Source organism: Homo sapiens, chromosome 7, assembly GCF_000001405.40.
Source record: "Homo sapiens chromosome 7, GRCh38.p14 Primary Assembly".
NCBI classification, from domain to species: Eukaryota; Metazoa; Chordata; class Mammalia; order Primates; family Hominidae; genus Homo; species Homo sapiens.
In genome coordinates this window covers 94,532,275-94,546,343 of record NC_000007.14, presented here as the reverse complement: position 1 = coordinate 94,546,343, position 14,069 = coordinate 94,532,275, and the positions used below count along the sequence as shown (strand labels likewise).

The window sequence follows — 14,069 nt, the reverse complement described above, 5'->3', positions numbered from 1 at the left end:
TGAAGAAAGCATTAAGATAAGTGACTGTGGCCTCACTTTGAACATTATTAGTAACTAACCATGTGAAATTAGAAAATAACAAGCTTTTGGGTATTTAGGTTCCTTATATGTAAAACAGGTTGATAATAACTGCTTCAAAGCTTGTCTAGAAAATACATTATATTAGTGCTTTTAAATTGTGTTTGACATAAGAAGACTTTTGCAAAGAAATATTTACTCAAAATCTCAATATATACATAAATCAAAGTAGAGCTGCCAAGATTGAAGCAAAACATAGGGGCATGGAGGCCTATTTGGCTTTCCCTTCTCTCTTCCAGCTCTCTCCACTCTGCCTCTGTATAAGAAGACAGTTTAAAAACTGTAGCATTAGTTAATATGTAAAATGGTTTTGAAGAATTTAAATTTAAAAAAGAAAAAACACATATAATGTAAACTATTATTCTCCACTGTTATATTACTTTAACTACTTAGCTGTAACATTTTAGAAATATCGTTTAAGAACAGAATTTCAAAATGTTAAAACTACATATAAATTTAAACTGTCTACATCACTTAATAAAAATAATATCATTTAGCAACTACAAAGAAATTTCACACGTTGAAAAAATATATTTACTAACATTAGTAAGAAAGTATATTTACCGTTTGCTTTTTTTTGGATTATTTGTGGCCATAGTGCTAAAGTAACATATATGACCATGAACCATACAGTGACCAAGGGGACAAAGTAATAGAATTGATAAGGTCGATCCATTACTATACATAACACCACTACCAGGAAATTGAGACGAAATAAAACCTATTGAAAAGGAGAAGAAAATGGTTTCATTCTAAGTAATTGTTTTCATTCTAGGTACACACGAACAGCAAAGGCAGATTTTCTCTGACAGAGTATAAATGGCTAAGACTCAATAATGACTGTACAAGTATATATTACTAATCCCTTAAATTACATTTGTTTTACATTCACTGTAAAGAGCTGAATATAAAATATGTATACATCATCATATTAACTAAATCCCAGCAAAGCACCAACCTGAGCTGTCCTCTGGCTATAACTGCCATCTTGCTAAAAGAGAAAAAAGTCGTCCTTCTGAGGGCTATAGTGTAGAAGCATAGATTAGATTATCTTAAGAAAGCAGTGTCCATTTCATCTTTGTTTAATGTTGACTTACCCCATTTGGGATTAAATTAAGAGTTGTCAAAGATACAAAATAGTATTACTCAAAACTCAAAGTTAAAAATGTCTTTGGGACTTTAATAAGAGTCATTTCAGATATCAGCTTGATGTCATTCAAAAAACACAGAATTTCAGCAGATTTTTACTAGTGCTGTACCACTTACTATGTGACCTTGGGCAAATTATTTAAGCTCTCTGAGCCTTAGATTCCTCATCTGTAAATATAAAGATAACAACTCAAGGCTGTAACGTGGGAGTAAATGAAATAATGTTTAGAAACTGCTTAGCACTAGGTAGAAACTTAATTAATATTCATCCTCTTCTCAAAGAAAGAAAACATAGCACATTATACTAATTCCAGGTAACTATTTCTACAAAATTAAAGTGAATCAGCAATGCTGTCTCCTGTGTACCAGTGCTTTTATTATATATTAAATTATATTTTCCTTCTTTCACTAATAATTTATCTTGAAATACTAAACACAGAACACAGAATACAACTTCACAGTGCTATTTCATAAATTCAAATTATTCAGTCTTATAATGACTATATTTATATTTTTTTCTCAAGTTAATGCTTTCTCAAGAAAGTATGTTCAACTGGAAGAAAAGGAAATAACAGTGCATTCCTACCTGACATACTCTATAGATTCCAAAATCTCCTTTTATCCAAAAGTATGAGAAATGCCCATACCCTGTCTGAAATAAATATGCAGCAACCAGAACTCGAATGTGCATGTATACAGGCAAAAACTGTTGACAAAGATAAACAGGTAAAACATATGTTGGCATCAACTACACCTTGGATTATCATAACAAGTACATTTAACAAAGATAATAAATGATTATTAGCATTTGGCATCAGCTCAATCACAAAGTTGATTCTCAAAAGTTAGTCATTATAGCAAGGATTACAAAAATGTAGAACTGGAATTGGAGAGACCTAGCTTCAAATTCTAGTTCTGCCACTTTCTAACTACATGACTTTGAGTTTTCTAATTTGCAAAATGAGACTATTCCTTCCTTCCTTGAAGGGTTCTTGTGAAGGATGAATGAGATAATAAATGTGAAGCACTTTATACATTAACTTGTACCCAATTAAAATTCAATATGATAGCTATAATTAACTGTCATACATCCTGAATGCAAGATGGATTCATACTTTTACCCAGTGTAAACATAATTTAGGAATATTATTTCCCTCCCACTCTTACTTTACAAAACAATTTTGTTTTATGCTCCTACATCACTGTCTTCATCATGACCAAGTCCCTTAATGTCATTTATTATGGTATTTCAGAGCATCACATCTTTACTTCTAAGTTGAATGAAATACAACACATTTGAATCCACATATGATAGGAGGCACCAAAAAATGTTATTTCATTTACTAGTACTAATTCTCATAACCTTAGAACACTGTGATTCCACCTTTCTACACCAGCTGATCCTTTATGTGTACAATCACAATTTCCACAGCATAACTTGTACACTGCCTTTTTTTTTTTTTGGAGACAGTCTCACTCTGTCGCCCAGGCTGGAATGCAGTGGCGTGATCTCGGCTCACTGCAACCTCCACCTCTCAGATTCAAATAATTCTCCTGCCTTAGCCTCCCAAGTAGCTGGGACTAAAGGCACCCGCCACCACATCCAGCTAACTTTTTGTATTTTTAGTAGAGACAGGGTTTTGCCATGTTGGCCAGGCTGGTCTCGAACTCCTGACCTCGGGTGATCTACCCGCCTCGGCCTCCCAAAGTGCTGAGATTACAGGCATGAGCCACTGCGCCTGTCCATACACTGCTTTTTAAAGTGATCTTTGAGGCTGGGTGCTCAATACAGTAATTGAGCAGACACATTAAATAGATTTTATAAGTCCTGAAATGTATGCATCTTTTGAAGATTTCATTCATGTTTCTTTTTGGACGGATATTTTTTCTGGGGAAAACAAACAAACATGAACTTAGACCATAAGTTCTACACAGCATCCACGCTAAGCAAACTTACAGATTCCCTATCTCTTAAACTGATACTTCTTGTACTCCTTTGTCAAGTCTCTTTTATTTACCTGTTTATTCTTGCCCTGGAATGTTCTTCCCCTAAGCATTTTGCTTATTCAAATCCTACTCTTCTTCAGAGCCTGGTTCAAAATTCCAATTTTTACTATCAGATGAATGTCATTTCTCCTTCCTGAGTTCCTATAGCACCTACAATCTACATATCAAACAAAGAGTTTTTATTTATTGCCCTTCATCATCAGTTCTTTTTAAATGACTTATTAGATCAGAAATTTTCAATGAGGGTGTAACATATTAGAATCACAAGGATGGAGGCAGGAAATGTACTGAAATAAACCTCAGAATTTATCTAATCCAAATCTGTGCCCTTACCTCATTCCTGAATGTACTCTAAAATATCCCCTTCGTGGATTGCCTAAGCATCTTTTAATAGAAGAAAACAAATTCCCAAGGCAATCCATTCCACCTTTAGATGGTCATTAACTGCTATAATGATCCTTTTCATGAAAAGTTGAAACCTAACTATACGTAAAAGCTACCAAGTTCAGCCCTCTAGAGCAGCGCTATCCAACAGAAATAAATGTGAGCCATAAGTAATTTTTTAATGAGGTTACCAGAGCATTTTAAAAGTTAAAAGAAACAGGTGAAATTAATTTCAATAAATATATTTTATTTAACTCAATATGTTCAAAATATTTCAACATGAGATATTTTCATTCTTTTATATAAAGTTTTTGAATTTAGTACTGATTTATCATAATTAATCATATTTAATGTGGTATACATTTCACACTTACAGCACATCTGAATCCTGACTAGCTACGAAGTGCTCAATAGCCACATGCAGTGAATGTGGCTAGCACAGCAGAGAGTCTAGCTCTAGAGTCTGTCAGAGCTAACTCACTCTTATATCTGATGGCTCTATAAATATTTGAAAACAGATGTCGAACCTAGGTTAATCATTCCTAATTACTTTAAGCACTCTCCATAAAACATGCTTTCAACTCCCTTAAAGACTGGGGCTGGGACTACAAAGTTGGGTTGGTTATTACATTTAAACAGTAAGTATAATTCATTTAAACAAAATTAAATACTGTAACAACAATTTTCCAAGTTCCTGCCAATGTTGGCCTATTGCAACTTTCATGTAATATTTATTCCAACGTTTTAAGATATTTTAAATGAACAGAAAAGTTGTACTAGTACAATGGACACCTATATGCTGTATGCTGGACCTTTTAAAAGTATGTTGCAGACCATGTGACAGTGCTCCTAAACTATTTCACCACCTATGTCTTAGGAAAAAAGGATGGTTTCTTACATGACCACATTATCATTACCATACCCAAGAAATTTAATATAACAGTATTTACTGTATGATCCATATTCAAAATTCTCTATTATTTTGCTGTATTACCTACAACAAAAGTTTAGTATTAAGAATATGCATGAAATTTCAACTTTACATTAGAGTTAATAGCTAGTTTGACTTCCAGTTCTGCTTTCTCCAGTCCCCCATATATTCTCATGACCTTTCATTCAGGTCTTTCCATGGAAGTTACTTACAAACTCTCCAAGGGCAAAAAAAAAAAAAAAAAAAAAAAAAAAAAACCAGTGGAACACAAATCACCTACTGTATATACCAAACTTACTATTCTCTTTGTATTAAATTTACAACATTTCATCTATATTTCATATATATTATACTTTAAAATAATGTTTACACTAACAATGATAATGTCAGACCATAAGGATTATTTTAATAATTCTCTAGAATTTTTGATACAGTTATCTTTTAGCATAAAAACATGACACAACTAGTTTGACATATTTTATTCAAAATAAAAAATATTAAGTAATTAAAATAATCATGACAGTTAAAAGTTTTTAGTACGAGTAATCCCTCAAATATCCAAGAATCAAGTCCCCAAATATGTTTGTTATAACCTATACTAATAATGTTTTGCCTATGTAGATATAGGAAATTTTTTAACTACAACATCCTATATAAAAGAACAGGGATATGTTAGTTAATCATTATAAATGATCTGTTAGTGAAAAGCATGTCCTTCCAGAACACAGATTTTTTAAAATTGTAAATTAGAATATATTAGGATGCAGTATAAGAAGATATATTAGAATGTTAGGTTGGTAAATGATTATAATAGAATACCAAATTGCCTTCATCTTTTTATGATATAAATCCTTTCTGGAGTCACTGAATTGAGGAACTTAATCTGCCATTAATTCTTTCTACCTGATTTTTTTAAACAGTAGTATCACCCTTTAATATGTCAGCAATTAATTATGTCTCTAAGTGGTATTTTCTTAAAACAAATTCCATTACTCAGTCTTTATTCATACATCAGAGATATTCTTAGGATTCAATTTTCATGTCTACATACTTCTCAGAGAATCTCTGGATTTATCCTACAAATTCTTAGCTGGGCTTATAAACTATGTCTTACTATCTCCATCTCTCCTTGCCTTGGATCATTTACACTATCTTGGCTCTTTCATAATGACTCAAATTCACTAGCTTCCCGTCAGCTGCAGCATCACAGGAATTTCACTGTTGCAACAAACATACATATCATAGCCAAATAATTTTAGTAACATTTATACTTCATTTCTCTGACTTCTACACTTCAAATAAATAATTCATAAAATCATAAATAATTTTTGAAAATAATAAAGAGGCAATGAAGAAAGACATCCTTCAATTGTTAGAGATATCTGAAAAACACTAGTAACCATGTTATTTATCTTCTTAATGCTGCTTAAATCTTCAAAATACTCCTTTCTGGGCAACACTCCTCTCTAACTTCAACTTATCATTGATGCACGTACTGTTTACAGATGTAAGCAAATAGAACAATAAAAAACAGTTCAGTAGTTCCCAAATTATGAATTTATTAAAATTTTTAAACATATTTTATGGAAAGTTTGCATCTTCACTATAAAAACTTGTGTGAAAAGTGGCTGTTAGGCTCAGCCACAAAAGTTTGTTGTAACTGTAATGTAGCTGGGTTGTTACAACTCAGAACACACATTTTTTTCTAGCCCTGCCACATCCAAAGTGGCCAGAGATCATAATAATCCTGTCTTTTAAGACACCCATGGAGAAGGAAAAAACTTATTTTTTCCAGGTACAAAAGGTACTAGGTGATCAAAGGAAGGGTCTTCCACACCAGAGAGGAGATAATACTACTTAGCACTTAGGAAGTATGGCACACCCTACATAGTCTACAAAGGTGGTCCACCTGTATTTGGATTCTTTGAATACTGAGGCAAGAGAGTTGGAAGTTTTTTAAACTTTAAAAATGTAAAAATAGCTAGTCAAACTTCCTAAAAGACAGCAAAGGATAGAACATAAACTATAATAATCAAATTTGATTTCTTCTGACAGTAACTTGCCTATTCTAAATCCTTTATAATTATCATCTTCAAAGTTTCCTTTTTTCTTTTTTTTTTTTTTTTGAGACGGAGTCTCACTCTGCAACCCAGGCTGGAGTACAGTGGTGAAATATCGGCTCATTGCAACCTCTATCCCCTGGGTTCAAGTGTTTCTCCTGCCTCAGCTTTCCGAGTAGCTGGGATTACAGGCATGCACCGCCATGCCTGGCTAGTTTTTGTATTTTTAGTAGAGACAGGGTCTCACCATGTTGGCTAGGCTGGTCTTGAACTCCTGACCTCAGGTGATCCACCCACCTCGGCCTCCGAAAGTGCTAGGATTACAGGCATGAGCCACTACACCTGGCCTCTTCAAAGTTTCCTGATAACTTCAAATTAGCTGTTCAATAAGATGGCATAAAATAATACCCTTAGATATCAGCTATTTCTATTATGTTAAAAATTAAGGCCAAGCAAATACAAAGCAATTATTGCCTTATCTTTTTTAAAAAAAATTTTGCTTTGAAAATTACATTTTCTCAAAGAGGAGAAAAATGGAAAGGCGGAAAGATTAAGTGGGAAATAAGAAGGGTCTATAACTGGTAGAGATTATAAAACACAAAAAAGCTGGTGCCCTTAAAGAAACATTAAAATGACATCACTTCCTATACTTTCTGAACTTAAATTCCAAATACTTACTGTACTTGCTCCAGAAATGTGATAAATCAAAATCACAAGTTGCATCCAGCCTTTCCATTCGTCTGTTTGTTCTCTATTTAATACTTTAGTCTGTGTAAAGGAACCAAAATCTGTTTTAAAATTTATCATGAAGAAATTATTTAACGGCATATAATAAGTATGTTAAAAGTTTTCTTATAGGACATAAAGCTAATGCTTCTGTCAAAAGAACCTTGATGGTGAGAAACAGTTAAAAACTGTCATTTTATTTCTTGCTAAAAGATAGTATAAAACTGTTTTAAATATAATATGAATCTGAAAAATATAAACTGAAGAGATTTTGAATATTTAAGTTGATCCCCTTGGTTTTGTATTAAATGACAATGTATTAAAATTAAATGTACTAAAATTAAACTATGACAGATGTGAGTATTTATAAATCTAAAAATGGCATTCTATAATTTTCTTTAGAATTTCAGGGTTAAAAGGATCTTACACTTCCCCTACACTTTACTGACAGAAAAAAAGCTCTATTATTACAGTTTACTTTCCCCAGTATATTCTCAATGAAGATGAATAACTAATTAATAATCCTCACAGGAGAGGTATGTTTTACAATAGAATTCAGTAATTCAAATAAATCATGCCTTGTAAAGAAGTTACACAAATATTCTGAGCAATGACAGCAATTCTAAAATTGGAAAATCAGAATACTGTGAGTAGTGGTGGCCACATCATTAAGTTCTGATTGGTATGTATATATGTCTGACTGATAAATATATAAATATAAAATATGTTTGTGTGCATAGGCATTTGTTAATTATATTCTTTTACTTTATAAAAGATAATAGTATCTCATGCTTGAAGACCATTATAAAATCAGAAGTACTTCAACATTCTCTGTCAACAAGCAGGCAAAATAACACTAAGTCATGAAATCTTTTTCACAGGTCATATTTCCCAACTTTTCAACAATTTTCACGTGACTCTGACCTTTCTCCAAACTGTTCCGAAAAAGGAACAGTTAAGAGTCCACTAAGTGAAGTGTAACTACAATCTTCCTTCATCTTCATCTCTATACCTGTTTGTGTATTTTGTCATGATAAATGATATTAGTTCTTTAACACAGAGTATGTAATGAGACAAGAAGGGTAACATGAGTTAAAAAGAAAATGACTCTTACCTCTTTAGTATTTTCATTATAAAATACTCCCAAAACCAAAATGTAGATAATTGGAATAAAGAAAGATGAATGTGTATAAAATTTGTTTTCCTTCATGAACAGATTTGCACGGTCACACATATAGAAATATGCCATAATCAGGCCAAGTTTGCAGAAAGATTGTAAAAGTATTTCTAATGAAGACACAGGGGTATTGATAATATTTTTCTTTTCCTCTCCACTTTCCAAATCAGTACACGGCTTATTCTTCCGATGAGCATTACGATGAATTATGTAAAAAATTAAATATCCGATAATAGATAAAGTGAAAAAACAAGCAGCTAGCTTCTGTATGAGAGTAACAGGAGGCCGAGGTTGACAACAGGACCCATCTACAGGCTTCAAAATCTTATTGCAATACACATTCATAAGAATCATTGCAGTCTGTGAACAAATCAAGTTATTTGGTTATTATCTTGTCAGTGATGTATTTCACATTAAATTTTCTCCTGTGAATACTACTGAGTTTTTAGCACTGAAACCAGAATGCTTTCGTATCTTTTGCTACCATTTCCCAAATCATGCAAATAATGGTATTCATTCCATCTGTAACAGCTAGTTCAGGGTGTTTCAAACTTCTGGGGCTATGAACCAAAATACAAAATTCATTTTATAATGTGACCCAAGACAATTACAGGAAACAATACCTATCCTTACGACTTGGAATGCACTCTGAGATTGTTCTATTCTATTCCTTTTTTTTTTTCTTCCCAACACCAATTTCATGGTTGTTAATGGGTTGTGACCTTTAGTTAAAAAATGCTGACAGACATCAAGGACCAAAGAATTTTAATTAGAAGACTTTCAAAACAGAAGATACCAGGCCACTTAAGATAAAGTCTACTGTTTAAATGTGGGGGAAAAAAAGCACAAAATAACTGCCACTAAAAAATTATTAATTTTTAGCTAGCAATATTTGTAATATGCCTTTCATTTGGATTACAGTTTATAGGCCATTTAGGATTCTACAAGTTTTAAGATATCTAATGTTAAATAAAATTTAGAACCTTCAACATGGTTTGATTATAATAAAATTATTCTGGGAAAGTTGAGTCTGTCTAGTTGAAGATTCAGTCAAACTCTAGTTTTATAAAAACTTCATAGTTTAGGCATCTGTGGAACTCTAGATGATTAGTTATTTAAGCCTAAACATTCAAAATAATCAAGATTTGAGAAAATCTCATCCTTTTAGCCCTGAGACTGCAGGTGGTTTTATGCCTGGCACTCTTGCAGATACTAGCCTGCAAATTCCACTGCAAGGTTCTTAACCAGTTTTTAGGGGGTTCATCAAGCCCTTTTATGTATATGGAGAACCATATGTACATGCAAACATACACATTATTCTGCAGGAGAAGAACAAAACCATTGTCTTGTATCAGATACTCAAAGGGCTTATGCAACTCTCACAAAGGTTAAGAACCACTGCTTAATAAGAGAAAAAAACTTAAAATAATTTGTTCCACTGTTTGTGAAAATTTGTAGTTACATAGTTCTCCTTCATACTTAACCTAAATCCCTTTCCATAGGTCAACTTGGATTTGTTCAGTATGTACTCTGTATCTTGAATAATGCTTAGGATAGAAGAGCTATAAGAATTCTTTTTTTCTTTTCTTGAGATGGAGTCTCTCTCTGTCACCCAGGCTGGAGTGCAGTGGCGGGATCTTGGCTCACTGCAACCTCTGCCTCCTGGGTTCAAGCAATTCTTCTGCCTCAGCCTCCCGAGTAGCTGGGATTACAAGCGTGTGCCACCACACCCAGCTAATTTTTGTATTTTTAGTAGAGATGGGGTTTCCCCATGTTAGCCAGGCTAGTCTCGAACTCCTGACCTCAAGTGATCTACCTGCCTCGGCCTCCCAAAGTGCTGGGATTACAGGCATGAGCCACTGCGCCTGGCCAGAAGAGCTATAGGGAAATAATAAAAAATATTTTCAGCATTAAGAAGTGTATTCTTCATTGAAGCTTAATCTTGAAAGCTTAAGGTTTAAGGTAAGGGGAACATAGAAGCAGTAGTTTTTACATGTGAGTGTGCTGAGAACATATATGCTTCTGAGGAGACAATGTATATTAACAGTGATTAGCACTCAGTAAATGAAGTTTAATTTCCCCTCTTCCCTAACTTCTTTCTCTCTTAGAGTATACCAAAACTCTTACGTATATATTCAACTAGATGATAGAAAGCAAAATAATTTCTAGATGTATCTTTATACACAATAACTACAAGTTACTAAGACTGCAATAAAACAAATTATTTATAACCATGTTATAATGACTTATGGCTTAAAGCAATTGATATTATAGTCTCCATCTACTGACATATGTAAAAATTTCTCACAGTTTCTCTGCTCGATTCAGGAAGATGTAAGCCATCCAAAGATTCCATGATGGTTTCTTGAGCAATTAATTTGGAAACACTGAACATCTTAACATTTGATTTAGAATTTCTGGTGCTACTATTCAAAATACTGACTGCAGCTTCATTGTAAGCATCTATCTTCTCATTAGTGATCATCTTCCTATTTTCACTTAATAGATCTTCATAAACAGGATCTGCACGTGAGACACATTTTTAAAAACACATTTTAAAAATCCCTATTGGTAAAAATTGTGATCATGCAAGTTAGCTGTTCCACATTTCATATGTTATTTTTAAAAGTATAGATGGTACCAGGTACCTAATAGTTCATTTTTACGCAAAGCTTCCCAAAGTTTGCAATAAATTTCCCATCTTATATTCAAGTTTTGAGTCAAGCAATATCCCTTTCAAATTTAAAGAACTTTTGTCCCATCTTTATGTACACAGATTTGCGGAAATATTTTTATGCTCCAGCATGTCTTAAGAGTTTAACATTTTTGGATGCTGAGTTATAACAGGTAACAACAAATCTAAAATGAGTTATAGAAGACTGCTTAATTAAAAATAGCTGCCCATCTTTTTTTCTCTTGTCACTGCTTAATTCTGTAAACTTTCTTCATATCATCAGGAGGTAATATTATTGAGGCTCAAGGTCTGCCTATTCTCTTATCACTTACTATAAATAACTAATTTTTCCTCATTTTGGTATGAGAAAGGTTAACAATGAGTCTGTGAATAAAACAGAGATTATGGAACAGATCATCACTACCCTTTTTCTTATTCCTTTCATCTTGACATTCAACTTGGAAATAATAAGAATTCCTGACACAAAACATGAATTGCTAAAATATCCATGGCATTTCATATTGTGCTAGGCATTAAATAATGGACATTCAATAAATTCCTAAAATGAGTTATCCTAATGTCTACTAAGAATTTCATTACCAAGCATAAACCAGATGGTGTCAATTTAAACATATTCTGTCAATTCAAAAGTGTATTTTATTTAATTATTTTTATTTTTTCAGAAACCCATTGCTTGCTAAAAAAGTATATTTACTTCTAATGACTTTATTAATATTATGAAGCAGGGTGAAGTATATTTACTTCTAATGACTTTAATGTTATGAAACACAGCGAAACCCTGTCTCTATCAAACATACAAAAAATTAGCTGGGTGTGGTGGTGCACACCTGTAGTCCCAGCTACTCAGGAGGCTGAGGCGGAAGGATCGCTTGAGCCTGGGAGGCGGAGGTTGCAGTGAGCCAAGATCGTGCTACTGCACTCCAACCTGGGAAAGAGAGCAAGACCCTGTCTCAAAAAAAAAAAAAAAAAAAAAAAAATTATGAAACAGATAATATTTTTTGTATATATTTCCCAATCACAATAAATATGTTTTGTAAGAAAAAAAAATCAGGGATACCACATGTCATTTGCGTTTAGGACTTATCTTTTTGTCATACATTCTATAGCCATGAGGTTTCTTGGAGGATATTTTTTATTTTTCACCTATATTTATTAATTTGTTCCTTACATTTGAAAAAGGAGAGCAAATAACTCAAGTGTACTCTAATCTTGCAAATCTTGTTTCAAAATTAATTCTCATAAAGCAGTAATTCTGCTTCTTGAAACAGGAGATAATAAAAACCCATGCTTCAAAATATACACAAAGTGACATTTTTTCATTACTCATTCCTTACCTTGTAAGACCCAATAAACATCACTAGTCTTTGCCAATTTTTCTAAAAGTGGTGCTATGGAGGTGATGTTCATTTTATATTGAGAAAGCGCTTCACTGCTACCATTGTGAATCTTGATGGACCACTAAAAAGAAGTACAAATTATGCATTAATTTAGTATTTATCACAAACAATTAAAGTATATAATTTACCTACTGTAACAAGTGTTATTATTTTAGATATTTCTCATTTTATTTAATATTAGAATAAAATTCAGTCAAATTAGTTCATGAAATATATGAAAGCAATTAGAAAAAGCTGTTATAAAACTATACTTTCAATGTATAACATTCAAGAAGAATACAATTTTAGATATAAAAAACACTCATATTTAACAGTAAGTTTCCTAAGTTAATTCCAGTATTTGTATTAAAATTCATCAATCTAATCATAATAGAAGTAGGAATTAAAAATTTAGGTACAATCAAGAATTCTGAACACAAATTAACTTTTTCTTAGCATGTTCTTAAACGTGAAACAAAATCATTAAGTAAGAATACAGATGATAACTTACTGTGGCAGCTCCTGCTACAATCACATGTGGCTTTGCAATGGAATCCTAAAGGAAGACAAATCTTTATCATAGTATTATAATCAGTTCAGGGAATTACTACAAGTAACATCATTTAATTTTTTTCCTTAAAATGTAAGTTCTTCCTTCTAAATTCATTCTAAGTTTTTAGAATTCCTTATTATTATTGCTTATTATTGTTATAACAAGACAGATTTAGGATATCCAATGCCTAAAATCTTGTAACGCTACATATACACACAGGATGACAGAAATTTGGATGGTTAATTCTTTGGTGTTCTTAAAAAAAAGCACCACTGAAATCTAACACGACCTAATATTCTGAACTCTGAGTAAAATGCTTAGAGTAAAGCTCTAGTGTATTATGTCAGTCAATTAAAAGGTAATCATGGAAGCCTACAGGGTACACAGTGTAAGTGTTAAATAAAATACAAGGTCAGTGCCAAAACAATCTTCTGGGAAAGTGAAATCCAATGCATATTTAACAAAATAAACTGATGATTATTAAAGACCACATGTGGAAAAATATAAGTAGAGATCCCTAAAAATCCTCACCAAATGCAAATTAGAGTATTTCCCCCCATTATATATGGTTTCAGTTTCCACTGTTTCAGTTACCCATAGTCAATTGAGGTCTGAAAATAATAGAAACTTCCAGAAATAAATAATTCCTAAGTTTTAAATTATGTGCCATTCTGAGTAACATGATAAAGTCTCATGCTATCCGGCACTGTCTCTCCTGGGATGTGAATCCTCCCTTTGTCCAGGGTATCACGCTGTATATGCTACCTGCCCATTAGTCACTTAGTGGCCGTCTCAGTTATCAGACCAACTGTCACAGCATTACAATCCTTGTGTTAAAGTAACCCCTATTTTACTCAATAATGACCCCAAAGCTCAAAAATAGTGATGATGAGATACTGTTATAATTGTACTATTTTATTATTAGTTATTGCT

General features: G+C 32.6%; 1 protein-coding gene and 1 long non-coding RNA gene across 10 annotated transcripts in view; one reads left to right on the top strand and one right to left on the bottom strand.

Moving 5' to 3' along the window:
• The window catches only part of CASD1 (CAS1 domain sialic acid O acetyltransferase 1), a 124,364-nt gene that overhangs the window by 87,829 nt on the left and 22,466 nt on the right, over window positions 1-14,069 (bottom strand). For 6 of the 9 annotated variants that reach the window (XR_007060138.1, XR_007060140.1, XR_007060139.1 and 3 more), the window contains 7 exons: window positions 13,095-13,139; window positions 12,542-12,665; window positions 10,821-11,035; window positions 8,450-8,872; window positions 7,288-7,377; window positions 1,814-1,933; window positions 643-799 (listed from right to left, as the gene is read on the bottom strand). Coding sequence is in view for 6 of the 9 variants with exons in the window: in XM_011516495.3 (XP_011514797.1) it covers window positions 643-799; window positions 1,814-1,933; window positions 7,288-7,377; window positions 8,450-8,872; window positions 10,821-11,035; window positions 12,542-12,665; window positions 13,095-13,139 (1,174 nt within the window). In the remaining 3 variants the exon portion in view is untranslated. Of the gene's footprint in view, window positions 1-642; window positions 800-1,813; window positions 1,934-2,921; window positions 3,392-7,287; window positions 7,378-8,449; window positions 8,873-10,820; window positions 11,036-12,541; window positions 12,666-13,094; window positions 13,156-14,069 lie in introns of those variants that run through there. The other 3 variants (NM_001363428.1, NM_001363427.1, XM_006716093.4) reach the window with 3 other exon arrangements.
• Window positions 1-14,069, top strand: part of LOC105375404 (uncharacterized) — a 34,852-nt gene that overhangs the window by 12,152 nt on the left and 8,631 nt on the right. The window lies entirely within an intron of this gene.